The sequence below is a fragment of the Homo sapiens genome, chromosome 2, assembly GCF_000001405.40.
Source record: "Homo sapiens chromosome 2, GRCh38.p14 Primary Assembly".
In the NCBI taxonomy this organism is placed as follows: domain Eukaryota; kingdom Metazoa; phylum Chordata; class Mammalia; order Primates; family Hominidae; genus Homo; species Homo sapiens.
In genome coordinates this window covers 89,132,644-89,158,721 of record NC_000002.12, presented here as the reverse complement: position 1 = coordinate 89,158,721, position 26,078 = coordinate 89,132,644, and the positions used below count along the sequence as shown (strand labels likewise).

The 26,078-nt window shown below is 41.0% G+C and overlaps 1 pseudogene, 1 gene segment (V, D, J or C) and 1 further gene, besides 2 other annotated features; 2 read left to right on the top strand and 1 right to left on the bottom strand.

The window, feature by feature from the left end:
- The window catches only part of IGK (immunoglobulin kappa locus), a 1,378,008-nt gene that overhangs the window by 1,076,647 nt on the left and 275,283 nt on the right, over positions 1-26,078 (bottom strand).
- Positions 15,614-15,662: a sequence feature (IGKV3-20 leader sequence).
- On the top strand, positions 15,614-16,148 carry IGKV3-20 (immunoglobulin kappa variable 3-20). The segment is given in 2 exon segments: positions 15,614-15,662; positions 15,850-16,148. Coding segments are annotated over 2 exon segments (348 nt in total), but the record flags the coding sequence as incomplete, so codon positions are not given.
- Positions 15,850-15,860: a sequence feature (IGKV3-20 leader sequence).
- IGKV2-19 (immunoglobulin kappa variable 2-19 (pseudogene)) lies at positions 23,475-23,741 on the top strand (annotated as a pseudogene). The gene is given in 1 exon segment: positions 23,475-23,741. A coding segment is annotated over 1 exon segment (267 nt).

Sequence of the window (26,078 nt, the reverse complement as noted above, 5' to 3'; positions counted from 1 at the left end):
TTCAACAAAGCATACAATAACAAACAGTGGGGAAAGGACACCCTATTCAATAATTGGTACTGGAAAAACTGGCAAGCCACAGGTAGAAGAATAAAACTGGATCTTCATATCTCACCTTATACGAAAATCAGCTCAAGATGAATCAAAGGCTTAAATCTAAGAACTGAAACCATATAAATTCTAGAAGATAACATTGGAAAAACTCCTCTAGACCTTGGCTTAGTGAAAGAATTCATGACTAAGACCCCAAAAGGAAATGCCACAAAAACAAAAAATAAATAAATGGAACCTAACTAAGCTAAAAAGCTTCTACATAGCAAACAGACAACCCACAAAGTGGGAGAAAATATTCACAAACTGTGCATCTGTTGAAGGAATAACCATAATCTATGAGGAACTCAAACAAATCAGTAAGAAAAAAACAAATAATCCCACCAAAAAGTGGGCAAAGAATATGAACAGACAATTCTCAAAAGAAGATATACAAACAGCCAACAAATACATAGAAAAATGCTCCACATCACTAATTATCAGGAAAATGCAAATTAAGACCATAATGACATACTTTCGTCTTTATCCATATTTACTTTCAAAATACATGGACAGTTGTTGAAGGTCACCTCTCCCTTTTCTTTCCATAAACTATCTTTTACAAGTTGGTAAAAACTTTAGATTTCTCTTCAGAGCTACAGTTTCTCATTTATGGCAAAAGAGTTTAAAAGGGTAAAGATTAGGAAACAAGCAGGTGATGGCCTAGAGCTATAGTGACAGAAGATCCCATGGATTGAGGTTTCAGTTATTGTGGGTTCACGGGTGTGACAAATTAATTCTATTTCCAAAGCAGCCCCCTGAAGCATGATGTTTGTTAAGTCAGATTAACGTTAAGGTTCACTTTCACCAGTGCGGCATTCAACTGAGAATTCAGGAAATGCTGAATATTTGGGTTGCGATTTCTGAAAACTGGTCCACGGAAAATGTAACTATAGACATTTCTCTTGGAATTTTGAAAAGGAGACTTTTCCAAAAAGAACATTTACCTGGAATAAAAAACCAGAAGGATCCAGAGCCCTTTGTTGCCAGTCTAGGGAGCAGGACAAGATTCCAGGCCCAAGGAAGTTGAAATTAAGAATCCTCGATTCCCTAATAAGAATAACTTCACCAAAAGTTGAGTGTACCAAGGCACTAACATGTCAGAGAAAATAGTCTGGGAGCTCAGATGAGGTGGAAAACTCAATGGGCATTTTATGTTATATCTTGCCCTGACATATGAAATACAGGGGGGCAACCCTCCACCCTGAGAGTAAATATTCTTTTCTGTGTATCAGAGGTATTGTTTATGTCCTCTTTCATCCACCTCCAAAATCCAAACTGCAGTTTGAATTTTCTTATTTTAAAAAAAAATTTCACCATTCTTGATTATAGGACCAGTATCCTGCTCCTAGAATTTTTTAATACCAAGAGCAACTCAGCTTATTTGTTTTACTTTGTTTCCTGTGCACATTAAGTCACTCATTCAAAAATAATTTTTGGCATACAATGTAGTCATTGAGAAAACAGACATATCAGATTTGGTGATATTTTTGTGAGTGACTTTCACCGTATTTGGTCACAAAAAGTTATATCGGTTTTCAATACATTTTTTATCACATATATTTTACACCAAAGTGCAATGATCTACTACAAGAAATTGTATTTCTACATTATGGTATCAGGCAGACAGTCACCAGTTCTTTCACAGGGTAGTTTCAAGTTGCAGACCCTCATGTAGAGAAACTCAAATTGTGTGCCATGATTGGTTAAACCCAAATGGCAAGAAAAGGTGAGGAAGAGGTAACATTTTGTGAGATACTTTTGTTTGAATGTCTGTGAGCTGTTTGTATGTGTTTAGAAACATGCTGTTTCCAACCCGTATTCCACTCATGCTATGACTATTCCCAAAGCTTCCCCACCAGGACTTTCCTCTTGTATCAAAACCCATGGAAAAAGGAATTACTCATAGTCATGTCTGGTCCTGATATTGGATGCTTGCCTGAGGTCACTCATCACACCCTCCCCCACCTTCCAGGGACAGACACCCTGACCCTCTCCATCAAGCCCCTCCCACTGTGAGGGCCTTTCTTCTGCCTACTGTACATCTTACATGCAAATCGAGTTTATCTAATTTCAAGATGATGCTTGTTACTCCTATATATGTGTTTTTTTCATGTCCAGTGGATCTTTTTCAACTATAAAAGTAGTTAATTGTCTTTAGCTGAGGGGAAGCCATGATATCTTCTTCAATACAAAATAAACATATTTTTGCATTTAATGGATTTTAACATAATATCAGAGTTTTCAGGAACAATTCAAAGCCATCATGTGAGGGTTAGGAGCATTTGAGTAAATAAGACAATTTTGATCCCAAGTACTGATATTCAGTAGGGAAATGAGCCATTCAGAGAACAATACCTACACAGTGAAAGTGAAAAGAATCATTTCAATAGCTGATAAATTGTATAAAATTCAGGCAGTGGCATGTGGTATCTGGAGGTCGAGACCATTTATTTGTGCGGACCAGGGAAGGTCTCGGGGTCATACTGGAGATGCTTCTGAACGGTGAGGAGGCAGCCAAGTGACCATAGGAACAGCAAAGACCATAGGATCATCACGAGAAGGGCAGGGACTGGGAGATTTCAGATAAACCATTGTGCATTGAAAACGCCAACCAGTACCATAATAATAAGATGTCTTCTGTGATTTTATTCCTTTCAGGAGAAAATTTATACTAATATCTTTCATCAAACACCTTGACCTGGGTCACACCCATAACATGAAATGTTCCCTGGCTCAGAAGCTGGAAGTTCAGTTTTGCATCCCTGTTGTAAGTCTGCAGGCTCCACAAAGCCCCTCCCTGCCACTCAAGCCCTTATCAGTGGGTTGGTTGCTGCCTTTAGGGTGGGATCACCTGAGGCAGAGGAAGCACTGGACCTGAGGCTCTGGCCCTTGGGTCCTGGCTTCAGCTATGGGAGCTCCATGTGACAGGGTTCTTATGTCCCGTGCTGAGATACAGACCATCGCTCAGCAAGCCCAGCATTCATCTCCCACTTGATCAGCCAACACGAGTCTCTGGGAGGCCTGTAGAGTGAGACATCATTAACGCTGGGGAAGATTTGTGTTTTGTTTCCACCTCAGATTCCAGTGGCAACATTGTGGGCCCCAGATTCCAGCTTCTCCCTCAGTATCTCCAAGACAGAGAGAGAGTTTCCATCACCAGCCTAGAAGCAGATGAATCCAGGGAATGTTTCAAAGATCCACCCATGTGCTTTGTCTACATTGGCCATGGTCCACCCCAGCTTGGCACGGTGGTCTTGGGGCAGACACTTCCTTAACTTTCAGCAGCTTGGGTACCCTGATGACATTGCTGATTATTATTGTCTAAAACTGTATCCTCTCACAGGGTAAACACTTGCAGTGCCCAGCCACAAATAATGTGAATTAGAATTAAAAATTAAAAACATGTTTTCTCAGTTACACTAGCTACATTTCAAGTGTTCAGTAGCCACATATTACTAATGGCTACCCTATTGTACAGCATAAATGTAGACATTTTTATTGTCTTAGAAAATTATTTTGCTTAAAACCGCTCTAAATGTTGACAAGTGTTCCCTCATTGTGTTATAGCTCAGAGCATAAATCTCACCAGCTGTTAGTCTGGAAAACTGGGAGTCCTCAGAAGCTCTCCAGCTGGTACAACCACTGTGGTCCTCAGATCTGCTCTGGAAGAGTTTCCAGAATAACGGGAATGAGCCTGGGCTGACAGATCCAGAAAAGAGGACCTTGGATTTCCTCTCCAGCCCCTGCCCATTATGCCCGGCAGGGTCTCTCACACCCCTTTTTCTCTCTTCCAAAACTACATTTTCAGCATTTCACATGGATTTCAGAACCTAATTCCTAATCGTTTTGTGAGCAACATCTTTTCTGGATATCCTTTGTCCTCAACTTTGGGACTGGTTTATCAAGGAGAGGTGTCATTCTGTGTTCCTTATAGGATCTGGCCTACTGATGGAAGTAATAGGATCTGTTTCATCATTACCCATGAAAAGACTCACCGTCAAGATTGACTGGGACTCAGCATCTAAAATCCTATAAGATGCTATGTCACCAACCAGCCATTAGATGGCAGACAAACCCCACAGTAAACACCAGAAATAAGCCTGATCTTAGAAATACTAGGAAAATCAACAGGGATATTTTAGGGCTAAAATGAGGTCTCATTTATGACCTAGATTACATGGGAGGAGCTGCCAGTGCACTGAGTTGTGGGAAACTCCCTCTGTGCTCTGTGCTCTGAGATTGGAAGCCCAGCCTTTTCCTCCCCACCGCATTGGCTGTATCCCCAAACCCTACCTGATGTGGGCTGAATCCAGGCAGAGGGGAGGCTGCCAATGGTCCCTGGAGTGGTTTCTCCCTGTTACCACACAGCCACTGGGCCATGTGTGCTACTCTGTCTCACAAAGGCCACCAGGGGAGGACCTGCCCACCCTGAGCTCTGGGGACAAAAGTCCCTCCAGTTGGGGTCTAGACCCACTGCCCATCTCCCCAGCACCTGCTGCTCTGTGATTCCCCAGACCCCCGTCAGGACAGTCAGTGTCCTTAGCAATGGGCAGGGAGGTACTGCTCAGCCCAGAATGGATGTAGGTTTGGTCCTGAGCTTCCTGACCCTCAGGCTGTGTAGTGATGAAGGGGCCATGGGGTGGTGCAACCATTGCTGGTTTTAAATGTTTGTGCTCAATTTATCAAAGTTTAAAAATCATATCTTACACTGACAATTAAAGTTATATCTATTAACATATAAGTGTGCATATTATACTTATTCCTAATATAGATGCACAGTATATCCAAATGTATAAATATAATTTATATCTAAAATATTATATGTATATTTAATATGTAAGGGTTACATTACAAATATATACCTATGCATGTAATTTTATGTTTGTTTATTACTTATATCTAAAATATTATATGTATATTTAATTTGTAAGGGTTACATTGCAAATGTATACCTATGCACGTAATTTTAAGTTTGTTTATTTAGCATGTGCTCTTTTTCTTTCTAACCAGAACAGAGCCTGGCTGAGTAAAGACTCTGGGGACATTTGCTGTTCCTCCCTCTTTGACTCCAGCAGGGCCCCAGCCATGCAGAATCAGTGAGGACAGAGCTGAGAGCAGCCAGCTCCAGGAGCTCAGGCCCAGCCCTAAGGGTCGTGTGTCTGAGACTTTCACACTGGCAGTGGACTCTATGCTTGGTGCAGCGCCCATAGAAGTATGAGCAGTTTCCTTCCCTGAAACCCTGCCAGGCAGCTCTGTGGGCAGGACATTTGGTTCCTCCCAAGTCCTCAGCCCCATGGCTCAAGAGAGCAGCTACTTCCTCCACAGCCCAGGGTCAGAGCCCAGCAGTCTAAAGTAGTGCAAGCTTCACCTTAGTCCTGGGTTGAGGACCCTATTCCAAATCTCTCCTCATTTATTCCCATAACTGAAAGCCTGTCCTGGTCTTAAATGCACAGGCCACATTTACACAATTCTTAAAGCTAAAGATGTCATATGAGAAATCAGAAATTTGATTTCGTTTTCATCCTCAGAGCCTGGCTTCTTCTAGCTGTATCAAATCAAAGTGTTCATACATTCTCCTCCCTATACAACTTAACTTAGAAGCACAGCAAAATTTAAAATGTGACAAAGCTCTTGGCAACTATGCAACAGTCATCCCCTTCTTCCTTTGGTGTATAGGGCACCAACTGTGTCTTGCCGTACATGGTGAGGGTGGTGAGTTTCTCCCAGCCCAGGATGGGAGCAGGGATTAAGGGCACATGTGATCAGCTCCAAAATGATAATGTCAGAGGAGTGGGCAGGGATCATGGGAAAATGGTTATACCTCAGAAAAGGACAGAAAGTGAAGAGCTTTGCTTTGCATTTCTTCCTGTAACAGTTAAGAGAGGATATGATGCTTAGAGCTGCTGCAATCCTCTTGAGACCATGGGGCATTTACAACAAGAATGAAAAGCCAGTGATGATGCAGGTGCAAAGCAAAAATGTAGTAACAATCTGGGGCCTTTCAGCTGTCACCAAGCTGTTGTACCAACCTTAAGTGCTTCAACCTTCAGACTTCTTGTCATTACTTAAACCATTACTATTATTTCTTTGACTTGTTTCTAAAATTATTCCAACTTATCTATAAAAGACACTTAAGAGAAAGATCCTGGCTGGGCCACAGACTGTGCTTCAGAAGAAGAAACATATTATCAGAAGTGTGTGTGCTTGTACGAGTCTGAGGCATGAAGGGCAGGAAACATGATAAGTGATGTTCTCCCTGGCACCTTTGTCCTGCTATGCCCATGGCAAGAGAAACCCAAACAATGCCAAAGAGTTCCTCAATTCTGCTCTTTCATTATCTCCATTTCTCCTTTTATATCCTAAGCATGAAACATCCCTTTGTTCTCCTTAATTCCTCCCTTTTCCAAGGTCATGAATTGTTGTCAAGAAAGAGACAGGAACCGTTTGAAAAGATAAAACCTGGTGATACTGTGCATCTCCTCAACACCAACATGGTTCTGCAAGTTTCCTCCCTTCTCAGTGGTTTTCTTATGGGAAGTTGCTGGCTGCCTCAGCCAGGTCTCTGTCAGAGGTTGCATTTGGAGGGTTTACTAAGCAAAGCTTCCAGGTAGTTAGTGCTGGATTCCCAGGAGAGTAGCAGGATGGTGGGTCTGTATTCCCAGCATGCAGGAGGCCAGAATGAGACCTGGGGGAAGGCTGTGGGTGTGGGAAGAATGGACTTAGAACTCAGACCTGTAGCCACGGCCTTTGGAACCCAATAGTGTACACTAAACAGATGGAGCTCAGGGGAAATCTGGTTTAAAGGTGTTATAGTCATTTGTCATCTTGTTTATGTTTCTAGTGCTACACAGGAATGGATTTGTGGAAGTTTTTATTGTGGAAATAATGCACATGAAACCCCATTGCCTATAGTGAGTCACAGGTTAGTTGTAGAATAACTATTAAAGAATTTGATTTGTAAATGACATATGGTTAATAATATCTTCCATAGCCTCTTTTTCTAAGATACTCAAGGGTGCATTTAAAGAAAACTGGGTATATAAAATGTGCGTATAATGTGTGTGTGTGTGTGTTTATGGGCACACATATACACTCTTCAGGGTGCATCATTTGGTTAAACTCTCACAATACCCCATGACTTCCAAAGTGCTCCATTTCACATATGAGAGAACCAGCTATGAGAGCTCATGACTGGTTTGCCGAAAGTCACATGGTCAGCAAATGCCCAAAGTCACATGGTCAGACTTGGGATTGAAGCCCAGGTCTGTCTGGCTTTAGTATGTTCCTTCTACGTGGCCACTTTCATCCCATGGTTGAGCCCAAAGCCTATAAATAGGAAGAAGGGACCATAAAAACAGTGTGGAATCCACAGCTCCCTGCTGCCTCTGTCTCATGCCAGGCTGGCCCTAATCTTAAACTAGCCTCTTCTGTGGTTTTCTCTTCAAAATATAACTCTCTCGAAGTCTTTAAAAATTGTAAATGACTTTGCTTTATATTTTGGAGTAGGAACACATCTTGCTTTCCCCTGACCCTGTTCACATCTTCTCTTTCCCTTCCAGTTTCTCTAAGTCTTCCTTCTCAGGTTCCAATCTCTCTAAGTCTTTCCTTGTCAGGTTGTGTTCTAACTTTCCTGCCAAACATGAAAACAAACACACAAACAAACAAACCCTCCTCTTTCTATCAGGTGCTATGAGACCTGATCCCTTAACTCTCCAACACACATTGGAAAAGAGCTAATCAAAGGGTTTACTCTAGACATTTTCTACCTAAGAAGAATCCCGGTGCAAGTTCTCATAGAAAATGGTTTACATCTCTTGTCAAAACTGGCACCAGATTATAACAACATGGAATGTTTGGGAGAACAGAGGACACCACACACTCAGAGACGTAAAAGACATTTTTCCCCTTGCATTAGTTTCCAATTGCTACTGGTTAAATTGCCACAATATTTCTGGCTTCTAACAAATTTATTATCTTATGGTTCTGGAGATGAGAAGTCTAACTGAGCTAATATCAAGGAGACATAGGGCTCTATTCCTTCTAGAGGCTCTAGGAGAGAGAATCTGATTCTTTCCTTTTTAATCTTCAAGATGCCTAGGCCGGGCGCGGTGGCTCACGCCTGTAACCCCAGCACTTTAGGAGGCCGAGGCGGGCGGATCATGAGGTCAGGAGATCGAGACCATCCTGGCTAACGCAGTGAAACCCCATCTCTACTAAAAATATAAAAAATTAGCCAGGCGTTGTGGTGGGCACCTGTAGTCCCAGCTACTTGGGAGGCTGAGGCAGGAGAATGGCGTGAACCCGGGAGGCGGAGCTTGCAGTGAGCCCAGATTGCACCACTGCACTCCAGCCTGGGCGACAGAGTGAGACTCTGTCTCAAAAAAAAAAACAAAAAAAACAAAAAAAAGATGCCCGAACATTCCTGGCTCCATGACCCGTTCTTCCATCACTCCAGCATCCCTCTCCATTGTCCCAGCTCCTATCTAACTGCCACCCTCCTCCCTCCCAATTATAAGGACCTTTGTGATTATATTGATCTCATCTGGATGATCTAGGAGGTTCTCCCAAACTCAAAATCCTTAATCCTTAAGTAAGTTGCATCCACTAAGTTTTGGGATTTTTTTTTTTTTTTTTTTTTTTTTTTTGCTACGTAAGTTAGAATTCATAGGTTCTAGGTACTAGGACATGGACAGGATGTGGGCATTCTTCATTTCACCCACAATTAATATCTTCCCCACAATTGTCCTTCTCTAAGGTAGAATTAAAAATCAGAGGGCATATTTATGAAGCAAGAGAGCTAGAAAAAATCTTAGATTCAGGGCCCTCAAATCTTTGGGTTTTAAATGCTGGGGGACACTTATTCCACTGCCTCTAATGTGGACTTCACAATGTGTAGCTAGTTTTAGAGGCTCCTTTAATTTACTAACCCAGAAAAAATTCATTGCACAAAGACAATCTAAAATAGATTAGTAAAGGGAAATTAATTGCTTCCTGACCATTCCTGTATTAGGGTTCTCTAGAGGGAAAGGACTAATAGGATAGATGTATAAATGAAAGGGAGTTTATTAAGGAATGTTGACTCACACAGTCACAAGGTGAAGTCCCACAATAGGTTGTCTGCAAGCTGAGGAGAAAGGAAACCAGTTCGGGTCTCAAAACCTCAAAAGTAAGGAAGCCGACAGTGCAGCCTTTAGTTTGTGGCTGAAGGCTGACAATACCCTGGCAAACCACCAGCGTAAGTCCAAGAGTCCAAAAGCTGAAGAACTTGGAGTCTGATGTTTGAGGGCAGGAAGCATCCAGCACGGGAGAAAGATGAAGGTCAGAAGACTTAGCCAGCCTAGTCCTTCCACATTCCTCTGCCTGCTTTCTGCTTTTATCCTAGCTGCACTGGCAGCTGATTAGATGGTGCCCACCCAGATTGAGGGTGGGTCTGCCTTTCCCAGCCCACTGACTCAAATGTTAATCTCCTTTGGCAACACCTTCACAGACACACCCAGGAACAATACTTTGCCTCTTTCAATCCAATCAACTTGACACTCAATATTAACCGTCTCCAGTAAAGACTGATGAAGAGCCAATAAACACAGAAAAAGATGCTCCACATCACTAATTCTTAGGGCAATGAAAACAAAATCTACCTTATACCTATTAGGATGGTTTCCCTCAACAGAAAATGAAAACTGTTCATGAGAATTTGGAGAAATTGGAAATCTTGTGGACACTGTTTTGGGGATGTAAAATGGTCACCTAGTATAAGAAACTACATTGCAATTCCTCAATAAATTAAAAATAGAAATACTATATAATTCAGCAATTCCACCATTGGACATATATCCAAATAACTGACAACATTAACTTGAAGAAATATTTATATACCCACATTCAGAGAATTATTGTTCATAATAGCCAAAAGGTGGAATCAACTCAAATGTTCATGCAGGGAAGGGTGGATAAACAAAATGTGGCATATAAATATATATGCAATGGAATGTTATTCAACTTTCCAAAGGAAGGAAATTCTGACACAGGCTCCCACATAGATGAACAGTGAAGGCACTATGCTCAGCAAAATCAGCAAGCCACAGGACTAATGAAGTGTGATCCCACTGCAGTATTTGCAGCACAGTCTCCAGTTGGCTTTGGACCAACCCAGTCTCCTCCCCTTTCTCACTCTTAGTTTTCAAGAATCACTGTAGAATATCCTGGGAATGTAACATCCTGAGATAGGGCAGTATTGGCCACCACAGCACAGGCTCTGTTCCAATCCCCTTGTGCCGAGTTCTGGCTGCATGTTCTCACGGCCCAATAACTAGAAGCAGAGAAACTAGGAAAGAAGGGAATTTATTATTGTAACTGGATACAGGAAGAAGGTCAGAGATAATATCACCAGACCAACTGCAAGTGTTATAATTTTCCTTCCCTCCTTCCTTCCTTCCTTTCTTCCTTCTTTCCTTCCTTCCTTCCTTCTTTCTTTTCTTTCTTTCCTTCTCTCTCTCTCTCTCTCTCTTTCTTTCTTTCTTTGATGAAGTCTCACTCTGTTACCCAGGTTGGAGTGCAGTAGCATGATCTCAGCTCACTGCAACCTCTGCCTCCCAGGTTCAAGCGATTCTCCTACCTCAGTCTCCTGAGTAGCTGGGGCTACAGGCGCCCACCATCACACCTGGCTAATTTTTGTAGTTTTAGTAGAGGCGGGGTTTCAGCATGTTGGCCAGGCTGAAAGTGTTACAATTTTCTTAGTGCTTATATAGGTTGGCTTTATGTGCCTACGTGCAGTAAAACATTTGCCTAAGTCTATAGGCAACTAATTTTGTTTCAACTAGGTCAGAGGCCAAAGAAATGCTAATTCCGATTAAGCTGTGAGGGCCCCAGTACCTTCAAGCCCTGTCTCCTAAATTCTAATCAGTGAGGACTGTGGTACCGGAGTGATTATTTCTATCTTATCTCATTTACAGCTTGGTCCAGAGAGCTGCCTTAGACTCTCCAGTGAATCTATTCAAACAGCTGCCTCTGTTACCTTGACTCATCTCATTTTATTGACCCAAGACGGGTCCTGGCACTAGGAATGTAAGGCTGTCTCCATTATTTTGACTTGCTCGAGGTTAGGGAGAAGCCTGTGCAAGCCTCCCACTGACCTATGTTTTACTTCTAGCTTTGATGCCTGGGAACCGATTCCCCTAGGTTTAATTATTTGCTCAGTGTTAAGGCAGCGCTGTGGAAATTTGTTGGTGTAACTGGACTGCTACACAGGCCTGTCTGTGTGACTGTCATGCAGACCTGTCTGTCCAATTGACAGGGAGTATTGTCCTGCCATACCCTCTTGAAACAAGATTTCCTTCAACACTTTAGCTCAGCATGATATGTGACTCCAAGATATAAAACCCAGGGTGGGTCCAATCCAGAGTGCCTCAGCTGCAGTATATATGAAGCAGTCTAGACCCCATCAGCCCCAGGCAGCTTTCCTGAGCCTTGGGGGAACAGACCTACAATAAATTCTTGGATTTTGCTATCCCTTGCTGCCTGTCTGTAAATTGTAAATTGCTTCACATAACTAGTTGTGTAAGGGTGTTTAATCTCCCTGGACTCAAATAAGTTGGTAATCACTGCACAGTTAACCTGCTTAACAAAATTGCCCCATTGAGAAGATTCTAGTATGACAGAACCATGGCTTATTGGTGAAGTGGGAAGAATGATACCTCCCATTACTTGGCCAGGGGAGGACCATTAGACTGGAAGGTGCAAGGCCTGGACATGCATCTGGGTGCTTTATGGGGAATGAGGGAGGATCAGTGGGTTATAGATCACTCTCTGCATGAGTTTAGATGAGCTGGCTGCCTGAATTAAGGCAGAGAGAAAGGAGTGTAGAAATGAGAATGAGGCACAAAATCCTCTGGTTCATAGACACTTGCATAATTGCTCATTCCTGGAGCCAGAGAGCTAGGGAAACGGGTACTCAAATGGACCCTAAGATCCCTGAGAGGGAACCAACATATGCTATTTGGGCTTTCACACAAAGGGAGACTCACTCTCTAAATAAGAGATACAGAAAAAGTTCAGGGAAGTCTTATGCAGACTGTTTGGTATATTTGTTTGATAAAGCAATATTTGCAGTTCCAAATTTCTTGATCTAAATGTCACTGTTAGGGATACAGCCAATGCCTTTGGGTGCTCACCAGAAACCAGTGGCCCTAGACCATGTAAAAATAAAAGGAGAAAATAAGGAAATACTTTTCTGGGTTTTTGGGTGCCAGAGCCCATAGGTCTCCATTGGGGAAAATTTAACCAATGACATTGAGAGGTTCAGGGACAAATGCAGTGGCCATGGTGCTTCTCTGCTTGTGGATGGTGCCCTGTGGGCCATGTTGGGGCTGGTGACTGTAGTTCCCACCTCAGAGTGCAGTACAGGCATTGATATTTGCACCACAGAACATCACTGCTGCATAAAAGGTATATTCCCTCGCAGCTAAGAATTCAAGCCTTAACAAAAGGGAATATCCACTGAAGCCTACGACCTAAGCTACGCATGACTCCGTGGGTTATTTGACAAAAACAGTACTGTGTACTAAGTGAAGAATAAGACATTACCTGTTTTTTTCAAGACTTGCTACAAATAGATTAAAATGTTACATAGTCCCCTGTCACCATGGAGCAACTCAGTTTGGCGGGGCAAAAAGACTTTAGGGGAACAGAGACTAACGATGGACTATTTCACGTTGAATGCTAAGGCCACTTGGACAGGAAACCAAGGAAGGATAGCAGATATAGTTAAACATTGTTGGTACTAGCAGCAACCATTAATAAAGGACAACAGCTGGTAGGCTTCTTTGAGTATTGGTAACAGCATAAACCTCTCTGGGGTGGGCTTTCAGTCCCCTTAGTCAAAATCAAAATCACAAACAAAACCACCAACCTTGAACAGAGCCCTTTGCAACAGCAGCCTTGGAAGAAGTTCAACAGGACATGGTCCAAACACTTCTTTTAGACCTTTAGAGCCTGTTAGCCTGATGGAAGTTCAGGTGTCCACAGTCTCTATGTATGCTGACTGTAGTATGTGGCAACAGAAAATTGTCACTGAGTGAGCCAGCCTCTCAGATACTGAACACAAACCAGCTGAAGCAGCCACCAGATGTCCCTCTTTGGCATAGCAACTCCTTGCTTGCTATGGGAAACTGACAGGGACTGGACATCTTGGGGCTGAGCACCAAGTGTGGCGCTGCTGGGTGAACTGCTCCTTTTCACTTGGGTGCCTAAAATCCAACCAGTGAAACTGGACAGGCTCAATAGAGCTGCATTATCAAATGGAAATGGTGTATTCAGAATCAGGCCCAGCCAGCAACCCGTGGGATCCAAAGGCTCCATAAACAAATGGCGAGCTTGCTAGAAGGGACTAAATGACCCATGGGGGATGGTTTGGCTCTGCTTTTGGCTACCCGAAGTCCAAGATTCAGAGACATGCCGACATCGGTATGGCATGGTTCACTTAGGGCTCTGCAAAACATGTAGACTGGGGGTGGCTACCATCTAGCCAGTGGATGACTATTTTCTTTCCTGAGACTGATAATGGTCATTCCACCCAATGGTCCAAACTACATGCAGTGGTAATGGTCATGCAGGCCTTTCTGCCACCTCTTGCTATATTTTTACCAACTCATGGGCCACTGCCAACAGTCTAGCTATCTGATCAGGAAAATAGCAACCGAGTGACTGGACTATTAAAGCATCCCCTCTGTGGAGAAAAGGACTATGGCAACAGCTTGCCACCTATAAGAGACAAATATGTCACTCAGCTGGATGCTGGGTCTACCATGACCACCCTTGAGATGAACTTATGCCATGTTTTTGGATGCCCACTGAGACTTTGCTTTGACCAAGGAAAGTTCTTTACTGCCCAAATGACGTCAATGGACACACTCTCATGGGACATGATGGATTTTCCATACACCTTGTTATCCAAAGGCCAATGGATCTATTTAATGCTAGAACAGCTGACTCACACGGCAACTGAAGAGTGTACATCAGGGCAACCTGCTAGTAGAGTGGTACCCCATCTGACTACAGCAATTGGACATTAAACACTGCACTGCAGAGCAAGGGAAAGACGGCACGGAGGTGCAGGTTGAAAAACACTGAGTTGAGTGAGGAAGAAGTTGGGCAAGGCCAGTTTCCTGATAGAGCTGCCACTGTGAAATCCCAAACTCAGTGTTTCCAATCATTTTTTTCCTTTTATAGTGATGTTCTTGGGGGTGTTGCAGTTTAGGCCACCATGATAACCCAGACAGGCCTCCTAACTCTAATTGGATGGAATGATTCCCCTGGGTGCCTTCTATGGGTTCCACAGGATCAAGAAATATCAGGGTGTTAATTTCCTTCTGCTGGTAGGAGGGTCATCTGATTCCTCCATTAGGGTGGATGACGTTATCAGACATGTCAATTTTCTACAGTACTTGACCTGCCTTCTAGAACTGGACAACCGAGGGTGAAAGGACTGGATCAAGCAACAATGGCAATGGGTGCCCAAAGAGGTAGTAGTCTCAGAACAGGGAGAGACAGACTGAGTCCCTCCACTAACTCAGCCCAACACCTGTGGATGAGTAGGGGATGCCTGAGATCCTGGGGTGGATGGGAGGTGGGGCACTGATCTGTCAATCTGCTTTTTCTTCAAGGATCAGGCAGCAGAGACCCAGAAGCTTCATGTCTTTGTAAGGCTCTTCCAAGCCAACACAGATAATTTGACAAAACACTGTATCTGCATCCCAGACCTCACCCTGTCACAGACTGAAGTGGTTGTTTCATCCTACTAAGGGTAAACTATACCAGCTATACAGAATAAAAAGACTGGATAGTTTAGAGGATCACCCAAGAAATAGTTCTTTGCCTGCATGGACAAAACCATCTTCTGTCTTTAGGGAAATGGTATCACTACCCTGAGGATTTGGAGCCCAGGTCTCACTTATCTGTGCAGTTGTGAAAGTCCTCACACCCACAGTGCTGAGGTTAATTGAATGTTACTCTTTTAATTTCTGCAAAGAATGAGACAGCTTCTGGACCCTCAGGAAAGATCACTAACAAGTAAATACAAGTATATCCGGAAGATAAAGTTGTAATAGACTCTTCCTTTCAACCTGATCCATCATGCATTTAGGGAGCTGACTGGGCACAAGTTGGAGCAGAAAGAGAAAAATGAAACCACAGCCTTCTATTTTGTTTCTAACAGACTTGTACCAAACATTCTGTGGCTCAATCTAGGTGATGGTGAGACAAGAGGACACAGGGGTTAAATTCTGTGGCCGCAGGGGAGAAGTTCTACCCTCAGACTGAGCCAACGGCCTTTTCTGGCCTGATCACCTGGGCATGGGCTGCTGAGAGCAGAAAGGGGAGGCAGATTGTCTCTGCAGCTGCAAGCCCAGCACCCGCCCCAGCTGCTTTGCATGTCCCTCCCAGCCGCCCTGCAGTCCAGAGCCCATATCAATGCCTGGGTCAGAGCTCTGGAGAAGAGCTGCTCAGTTAGGACCCAGAGGGAACCATGGAAACCCCAGCGCAGCTTCTCTTCCTCCTGCTACTCTGGCTCCCAGGTGAGGGGAACATGGGATGGTTTTGCATGTCAGTGAAAACCCTCTCAAGTCCTGTTACCTGGCAACTCTGCTCAGTCAATACAATAATTAAAGCTCAATATAAAGCAATAATTCTGGCTCTTCTGGGAAGACAATGGGTTTGATTTAGATTACATGGGTGACTTTTCTGTTTTATTTCCAATCTCAGATACCACCGGAGAAATTGTGTTGACGCAGTCTCCAGGCACCCTGTCTTTGTCTCCAGGGGAAAGAGCCACCCTCTCCTGCAGGGCCAGTCAGAGTGTTAGCAGCAGCTACTTAGCCTGGTACCAGCAGAAACCTGGCCAGGCTCCCAGGCTCCTCATCTATGGTGCATCCAGCAGGGCCACTGGCATCCCAGACAGGTTCAGTGGCAGTGGGTCTGGGACAGACTTCACTCTCACCATCAGCAGACTGGAGCCTGAAGATTTTGCAGTGTATTACTGTCAGCAGTATGGTAGCTCACCTCCCACAGTGATTCAGCTTGAAACAAAAACCTCTGCAAGACCTTCATTGTTTACTAGATTATACCAGCTGCTTCCTTTACAGATAGCTGCTGCAATGACAACTCAATTTTAGCATCTCTTCTCTGCTTGGGCATTTTGGGGATCTTAAAAAAGTAATCCCTTGATATATTTTTGACTCTGATTCCTGCATTTTTCCTCAGACCAAGATGGACAGCCAGGTTTAAGCACAGTTTCACAGTAATGGCCACTGGATCAGATTTACATCAGTGGATGTCAGTAAAGGTCCCAACCAGAGCCATAAGGCAACAACAATAGCAACAAATAATCAAAATTGGAAAAGAAGAATTAAAGCTGTCATAATTCACTGATGAAGGATTGTGTGCAGATAAAATTCAAATTTGTCTACAGAGAAACTACTAAAATTGACATGAGAAATAGAAAATCATTAGATTCAAGATCAATTTATTAATTCATAGATTCAAAAATCAATTTCATTTCTGCATAATAAAAAATGCTAAAAATTAACATTATAAAACAAACACACCATTTACAAAAACATCAAAGTATCAATTATTTAAAAAAAATAGACTAAATACACTGACGTCTCCAGAATATTATTTTGAAAAATAAAAGAAAACCTAAGTAAATAGAAATTCAGTTCAAAGACTGAATGTCTCAGTACTATAAAAATGTCAATTCTTCAAAGATTAAAATATTGATTACATATAAGAAAAATCAAAATCCTAAAGTATACTCCAATTTAAATTAAGAAGCTAATCTAAATATTATATGGGAATGTCAAGGATGTAGAATAGCCACAGTGAACCTGAAGAAACACCAAAATGAGAACTTCCAGTGCCTGAATACCTGGAATATAGTGTGGGTGGCAGTATGGTGATGGTGAGATCAGAAGTTTAAAAATTTGCAAACGTGCTTATTTTTGGAAATAATCACTACGCAGATGTAGCCAAACCCTCTTCAACTGTGCCACCAGAATCTCAGATTTCCAGAATTAGTTTCTCACAGTGTGATTCTTAACATGACATCAATAATTCTCAGTCTCCCCAGTAAACGCAGCTCAGTGCATGGTGCAGCTATCCATTTGACTTCTACAAATATTTTAAAAGGTAGAAAATTATATTTATCCAACTAATTGACTCAGTAACAGCTGTTCATTTGCAGAGAGGTACTCTGTTTTAATAAATAACAAAACTAAGAAAGTTAGTGAATGACCAAGTAGGAAGAGTGATAGGAACAGCTGTCTTAGCTTTGTCAAAGGCTTCCTTCCAAAAGGAATTTCACTGGTCACTTTCATTTATCACCACCAATAATTTATTATAACTTATTGTAATGTGGTTTATTGAATATTATATGAAAGTGAAAAACAGAGTAGTTGTACCAGTACTGGAAGCACTGTTTCTACTGAATACAAATAATTTTCACACTATTGTAAAGTCAAAACATCTTAAGTGCAACCACCATGAATTAGGGACTTACTGTAAGTTCAGGGAAGTAACTATAAAGAAACTCACAAATTTTAAGAAAAATAGAATATATTCCTGATAGAGGTACAGGAATATATTATCTAAAATATACAGTTTTCCATTAAAAAATCCTGCAAAGAAACAGAAAAGTATGATCAATATTGAGGGAACAAAACAAAACAACTGCAGCAAGAAAGCACAGTCAATGAAAGCTGATTCTGACTTGTCCTGAATATCAGCTTTAGCAAAGACTACAAAGCAATTATTATATAGATGTTTAAATAATTATTCTTAAAACTACGATCATATAGTTTTAAAGATATAAAGAGGAAAATATAAAGACAATGACTCAGCAAATGGAAACTCTTAAAAAATAGAAACTATGGAAAAGAATCAAGTGAGAATTCTAGAAACAAAAAGTACAATAACTCAACTGAAAAATATATTACATAAGTCCAACATCAGTTTAAGATGGCAAAAGATTCAGTGAACTTAAAAATAGATGTACAGAAATTATTGAATCTAAATAAAGAAAGGAGTTTAAGAAAAAATGCGCAAGACTTGACAGAATTACAGCTCAGGTTGAAAGATACCAACAAGTGTGTAAAACGAGTCACAAAAAAAGCAGAGAGAGAGAGAAAGTGATCAAAAAATACTTGGAAAAGTAATGACAACAGCTTTTCAAAAATAATGAACCACAAAGGTAATTTAATCTATAGATGAAAGAAACTCAATGAAACGCTTTCAGGATATAATACAAGATTAATAACAAAATACATTATACTTTAAAATGTTGAAAGACAAAGAGAAATTCGTGAATGTGTCAGGACTAAAAGCTGACTCTACATATGGAGACACAATAATAATGCCATTGGCTAAGTTTTCATTAGGACCGAGGGAGGCTGGAAGAGATTGGAATGAGATCTTTAAATACTAAAAGGAAATGAAAGAGGACAACCAGCAATTTTGTTTCTGGTGAAAATATTCTTCAGAACTAAAAATATTCCTTGATAAACAGAATAAATTCATTAATAGCAGCTCTGCCTTATAAGAAATTCAAGATGAAATCTTTCAGAATCACAGAAGATTACAGCAGGCAGGATTTTGAGCCCACAGCCTATAATGAAGGACTCAAAAGTAGTAAACAATAAGAATAAAGCTAGAAAAAAGCACACAATTCAATTTATATGACATTAAAGACATAAAAACCCAAATTACTGTGTTCGATGTCAGAATGACAATTACCTTGGTTGAGATGGGGAAGCAGTTACTGAAGAGGAAGGTGCATGGAGGAAGCATCAGCAGAAGGTAAATATTCTGTAGTTCCATCTGGCCAATGAATACACAAAAACTATTCAGTTACAATTTGAAGATGTGTGCCCTTTGTGCCCTCTGGGTGTTTTATCACTTAAAATAATACGTAAAAATACCATATAGAATAGAAAATATTTATGAAAACTCAGCCTATTAAAGACCAATGTAAAATATGCCTGGGAAAGGGAAAAATAATTAGAAACCTCTTAGAGAAAACAGAAGGATATTAAAAAATATGTCCCTTCGGCCGGGCGCGGTGGCTCACGCCTGTAATCCCAGCACTTTGGGAAGCCGAGGCGGGGGGGATCATGAGGCTTAAGATCCAGGTCTGGAAGCTCGTCAAATGCTAAATTATGTAAAACACAATAAGCCAAGGATGCAGGTTGTAGTTCTCTGGGGTACTCAATTATAATAAAATAATACAGAACTAAAAAACAAATTAGGATAAAATAAATCAACACTGTAAACAAAATATGTTGTGCCAAATATGATTGAATTTTTAGATAAAAGATTGTAAATAAATAAATGAAATTGCATACACAAAAATAAAATCAAAAGACAACTAAAAACAAGGAGAAACTATTCTTAATATATTAAACAAATAAACTGTTACTGTTCTAATATGAAACAACTCTATTAAAAGTTAAGATAATGGGTCAAAAATCCAATAGAAAAAAGAAGAAAAGAGAACAGACAATGCATTATAAAAGATATATACATATAGCATTTAAACACAAGTAAAGTGTGTAATCTCAGTAATGAGGGAAATGCAAATTGAAACTACTTTGAGGTAGTATTATCTGGTTTAAGAAAATCCAAAAAATATTAACCGTATTTTTAGGCAAGGTTATAGGGAAACAGGATTTCTCATTAACAGCTGTGAGGATGGAAACTAATACTACCTTTTTAAGAAGGAGAATATGACAACATCTACAAAACTATCTTAATGTGTAACTTTGACCCATAATCCCATTCCTAGGAATCTCTGAAGATACATCTTCAACACTACAAAATTACATATACACAAGGTTATTCATTGGAACATTAATTGTAATGATTTGTAAAATGTTGACACCACCCAGAATATTCATAAATAAATATTTTGTTGAAATAGCTATGGAACATTCATGCAATGGAGTATGTATCAACTGTCAAAAGGAAGAAGTTATCTATGAATTGACAGGAAGTTATTTCTCAGATATACAGTTGAATGAAAAAAAGCAAAGTGCAAACAAATATCTATACCGTGTTACCTTCCAAGTAAGAAAGCAGAGGAGATTTAAAAACAAACAGAACCGTAAACGAAAACAACAAATTTGAGAGGATAGACAGAGTGAGGCTGGCAGGGAGTGATAAGAGGAAGGGGCTGGTAACGGGGTGAAGGGATGAGATGAGAGTGGTACAGAAGGGGTGGAAGGCGACACGTCTCTGAGCTTACCTTTTTGTTTTTGTGAATTTATGTCTTTGGAGACTCTATTTATACTACAAATATTTGAAAATAATTGAAATCAAGAAAGATGAGAGGATCCAAATGGGTTACAAACAAGAGTAAATGAAACTAAATGTATTACAAATGAATTAAAAAATAACAAGGTGGTGGATATGGGAAGAAAAGACTAATATAAGTATTGTTGGGACCCAGTATTTTGACTATTTCCACTAAAGCTAAAGACAGAAATATGTGTGATTCAGTATTTTACTGGACTTAGTAGCTTCAATTTTTACAGGGGTATAGTTAAGCATGTGCACACATATTTTTCTTTATTTATTCCAGGCAATGGCTACATGAATTTTTAAAAGTTTTATTTTGATTTTAATTGACAAATAGTAATGTATATACATATGGGGTACAATGAGATGCATACATGTATACATTGTCGAATAATCAAATCAGGTTAATTAACATAGTCCTCACCTCCAATATTTATCATTTTTTGTACTGAGAACATTGAATATACTTTGTTATTTTGAAATACAGAATATAGTATTATTAACTACAAAACCACTGTCATAAGGTTAACAAGAACAGTATTCCAGGTTCCAGACTGAAATATAGTTAAGCATTAATCAGACAACATTCTGAGCCACTTCCCTTAGCTTCTCACTAATAAAAGTCAAGTTGCAATAAATACAGACCATTAACGTCCCCATTGTTCCCAAATATAACACCTTCACCATTATGAGCATAAAACCTAATCTTTGAGATATTTACCAGATCCTGAATTCCAGTAGAATAGCTGACACCAACTTGTCTAAAGACCACCCCCCTCCCAAAGAACCGAGTCAACATAAGAAAGCAGTTTCTTCACCTCCCAGTCCCATGACTTCATCCTTCACTCTTCAACCAATCTGCCTCTCCATCCAAAACCACTTAAAGTCTTTAACCCCAAAGTGCTTGGGGAGGTAGATATGAGGCTTCCTCCTGTCTTCTCATTTAATTGCCTTGGGATTAAATCTCTTTCTCTGCAGCAGCCCCCAGTGTCTTAGTGTATGTTGACTTACCATGTAATAGGCAATCAAGCCTGCCAGAAATACATCTATATAATAATGTCGCCATGCTATGCAACAGATCACCAAAACTTAGTCCCCCTATCAGACTGATATTTTGTACCCTTTAACAATGCAGTCTCTGGTAACCAGCATTCTACTTGCTATTTCTGTGACTTTCATTTTTTTAGATTTTTCTTCCTAAGCTTAGAACAAGGGATTGCTGTGGCCATGGCAGAAGAAGTTTGCCTCTGTATACAGAGTTTCCCTCCACTGCAAAACTGCAGCCTCTGCCAGTTGCATCCACTGTCCTTATGAATAAACATACCTGGAAGTGTTCATAGTATTTGCAACGAATTATACAAGATTTTGAAGCCCCCCCTCTCTTTCTCTTCCTTTTTTGTTCTTTTGTGCCATCTTTAAATTTTTCATTTAGCACAATGCATGACTGTTGGGGCTCAATACATATTTGTTGCAAAAAGGGTAAAAAAAGGTGTTTCTTCTTTTCAATAGGAAAAATTGTAGTTTAAATCTCACAAGACCGTCTTGTAGTCAGACTCAAACTCACATCCACAGTCACCTCCTGTGGATGGCGAAAACGTGAACTTTATGTGTATGTCTCCTCATACATTGAATGGTGGTCCAGATTTCCAGCTTCTCGGGATCTGTGCACACAGGCTATTGTGTCCGGAGTTGGTTCCTGCTGGTGAGTCTGGCTGACTTCAAGAATGAAGCCACGGACCTTTGTGGAGAGTGTTACAGCTCTTAAAGATGGCACGGAGCGGCAGCAAGGATTACTGTGAAGAGCTAAAGGACAAAACTTCCATAGCATGGAAAGGGACCCTTGCGGGTTGCCACTGCTGGCTGGGGTGGCCAGCTTTTATTCCCTTATTGTCCCCACCCATGTTCCGCTTCTGTCCTATCAGAGTGCCCTTTTTTCAATCCTCCCCACGATTGGCTACTTTTAGAATCCTGCTGATTGGTGCATTTTACAGAGCACTGACTGGTGCGTTTTACAGAGTGCTGATTGGTGCATTTTACAATCCTCTTGTAAGAAGTCCCCACTCCACCCAGGAAGTCTAGCTGGCCTCACCTCTCACTATCAATGACTGAAATGATCATTAGTAGCAGTGGCTTTGGTTAAATGTATACCAGTAGTTACATACAGGGTAGAAAAATGGTCTGAAGAGGTATATTCAGCATCAAATGAAAAAATTACACCTTGTGACCCCTTTCTCTCCCTGTATGATCCCTTAAGATTGTGCTGAAACCTCAGAGCATCAGGTCAGCCTCATATTGCTCCTTCCTAAATCTTGGTCCCTGCTCAACCTGAGCCTATGTTTGGCCATCCACGGGCATCCATGTATACAACTTTGAAGGCAAAACTCCCTGCTTGGAGTGGCTCATTAGATGACCAGGGTCCAGATAGCATTGCCAAGGAGGCTCACAGATGGCTTCATACTGAGTCTCTCCCCTCAGCCTCCCAGCATCACCAGCCCTGAAGGAATGTCCCTGTTATCCGTGGCACCCAGAGCACAGTCAGCCCTGCCCTGACTTCACTGCCCAATTCACAGCCTCATCGCAGATTCCACTGCAAAATAGACAGTGTGAGATCTCAAAGACAGGCTGATTTGTAGTCCTGAAAAGCAACAACCCATCGTTCCCTCGATCTCTTTGGTGGAATTTCAAAGTTCGTCATAAGCTGAATTTCTGTACAAACATACTCTCTTAACAATGGAAACTATTTGCAATATGGGAAACATAAAACATGGGAAAAGTTTAAATCTCTCAAGAGCATCTTCTAGTCAGATTCATATTCAGCTTCCCTGATTCTGAACTTTCTGTCTTGCGGTCAGCTTCTTTTGGTCCATTTGTTTCACCCTTTCCAGCTCAGATCTTCTCTCCCTGGCTACCCTTAGTCTCAGGTTGTCCTTACGTTTGATAGGCTTCTACCTTATGGATGCTGTAAGGTTATCCTCTCATTTGCTGGATTCTTGTGGGAAAAAAAATCCCTCCAAGTTCACATCCTGAGACTTCAGACTCCACTCTTCCTTGGAGAGCCATCCTCCATTTCCTGCAGGTCTGGTCAGAGCCCCTTTCATAGAAATGGAAACACTTACTTGAATTGGTTTCTGCAGAAGCCAGACCAACCTCTAAGGTGCCTGATTTATGAAGTTTCTAACAGGAAGTCTGGGGTCTCGGGCAGGTTCAGCAGCAGTGGTTCAGGGACAGATTTCATATTGAAAATCAGCAGGGTAGAGGCTGAGGACGTTGGGGTTTATTACTGCCTGCAAGGTACACAAGTGCCTCCCACAGTGGTACAACCCTGAATACAAACCTCCCTGCTTGGAGTGGCCCAGCTGCTCAAATATGTTGTTTATCTGGGGAGTGGCACAACAGAATCTCTGCTGTATAAGATGAAGATGTTGGGCCGAGGCGGGCAGATCATGAGGTCAAAAGTTTGAGACCAGCCCGACCAACATGGTGAAACCCCATCTCTACTAAAAATACAAAAATTAGCTGGATGTGGTGGTGCACGCCTGTAATCCTAGTTACTCAGGAGGCTGAGGCAGGAGAATAGCTTGAACCCGGGAGATGGAGCCTGCAGTGAGCCAAGATCACACCACTGCACTCCAGCCTGGATGACAGAAGGAGACTCCATCTCAAAAAAAAAAAAAAAAAAAAAAAAAATGAAGATGTTGGTGAGCTCAGGGTAAAAGGTTGCAGCTGAATGACCTGTCCCATGGGGGACTCAGCAGTACATCAGGTAAAACCCATTCATGGTCCTGTCAGCTCCCACAGCCTTGGCATGGCATAAGCCAAAGGAAAACAGAGATAATTCAAGTGCCTTCAGAGTAAGCAGACAGGACTGAGGGAGAGCGGAGGGAAATCTCACACTAATCTTCCCTGCCTTGCCTACATTCGACAATGAGACTTCAAATAGCTTAATAGCCAGACAAGTAACACAGATTCGTGTCAACACGTGTTGAATATCTCTTGAAGTTTAGGTCTTTTGTGTATATTTTTAAGAGGGTAGTATTTGGTAGTATTTAGAAACTGGTATTTTTCAACTTTTCCAATTTCCTTCTTCTCCTTTTTACTAGTTCTCTTCCCATTGCACCACATAACAAATAGTGAAAAGAGCATTCTACACAAGCTGTCCTCAGGGAGAGCTGGCTGAGGACAATCATGAAAAAGCTTGAATTTGCACCTCCAAATAGACTTTTGTGACGTCATGGAAGACAGAAGATCCTGATGTTAAAACTCTTTCATTCATTTCAATTACTTCTTGCTAATAAAAAAGGATAATATTTGAAATTCCAAAAGTTGGATTTTAAAAACAAAAACTTAAACTGGAACAAGCAGATTATAGAATTTATGTTATATGCCACTAGAATAACACAGAATAATGTGAGGTTTTTTTTTTCTTTACCAAAGGGTGAGAATTTTAAAACTGTGGGCAGACTCCAGGAATGAGAACAAAGAAGAGAATATAGTAGAGGCCAACTACGGTCCATAATCTGAACTTTGTCTTGTATTTGTTGCAGTTGTGGGTGGTATTCTGTGATGTATATGTACCACATTTTCTTTATTCTGTCTACCACTGATGGGCATTTAGTTAATTCCATGTCTTTGCTGCAGTGAACATATGTGTGCATGTGTCTTTATGGTAGAACAATTTATATTCCTTTGGGTATACGCTCTGTAATAGGATTGCTGAATCAAAAGGTAGTTCTGTTTAAAGTTCTTTGAGGAATCTCCAAACTGCTTTGCACCGTGGCTGAACTAATTTACACTCCCGCCAGCAGTGTATAAGCATTCTCTTTTCTCTGCAACCTCATCAACATTTGTTATTTTTTGAGTTTTTAATAATAGCCATTCTGACTGGTGTGAGATGATACTTAATTGTGGTTTTAATTTGCGTTTTTCTAATGATTAGTGGTGTTGAGAATTTTTCATATGCTTGTTGACTATGTGCATGTTTTGTTTTAAGAAGAGTCTGTTCATGTCATTTGGCCACTTTTTAATGGGGTTGTTTTTGTTTGTTGCTTGTTAATTTACGTTCATTACAGATTCTGGTTATTGGGTCTTTGTCGGATGCATAGTTTACAAATATTTTCCCTCAATCTGTAGGCTGTCTGTTGACGCTGTTTATAGTTTCTTTAACTTGTGCAGAAGCTCTTTACTTTAATTAGGTCCCATTTATCAATTTTTGTTTTTGTTGCAGTTGCTTTTGGAGTTTTTGTCATGAAATTTTTACTACGGCCTTTGTCTAGAATGGTATTTCTTAGATTTTCTTCTAGAGTTTTTGAAGTTTTAGGTTTTACATTTAAGTCTTTAATCCATGTTGAGTAGATTTTTGTATATGGTGAAAGGAAGGGGTCCAGTTTCAATCTTCTATATATGGCTGGCCAGTTATGCTAGCACCATTTATCAAATAGGGAGCCTTTTCTCTATTGCTACCTTTTGTCAACATTGTCAAGATCAGATGGTTATAATGTACAGCTTTAAGTCTGGGTTCTCTAACCTGTTACATTGATTTATGTGCCTATTTTTGTACCAGAACCATGCAATTTTGGTTACCGTAGCCTTGTAGTATATAGTTTGAAGTCGGGTAGTGCAATGCCTCTGGTTTTGTTCATATT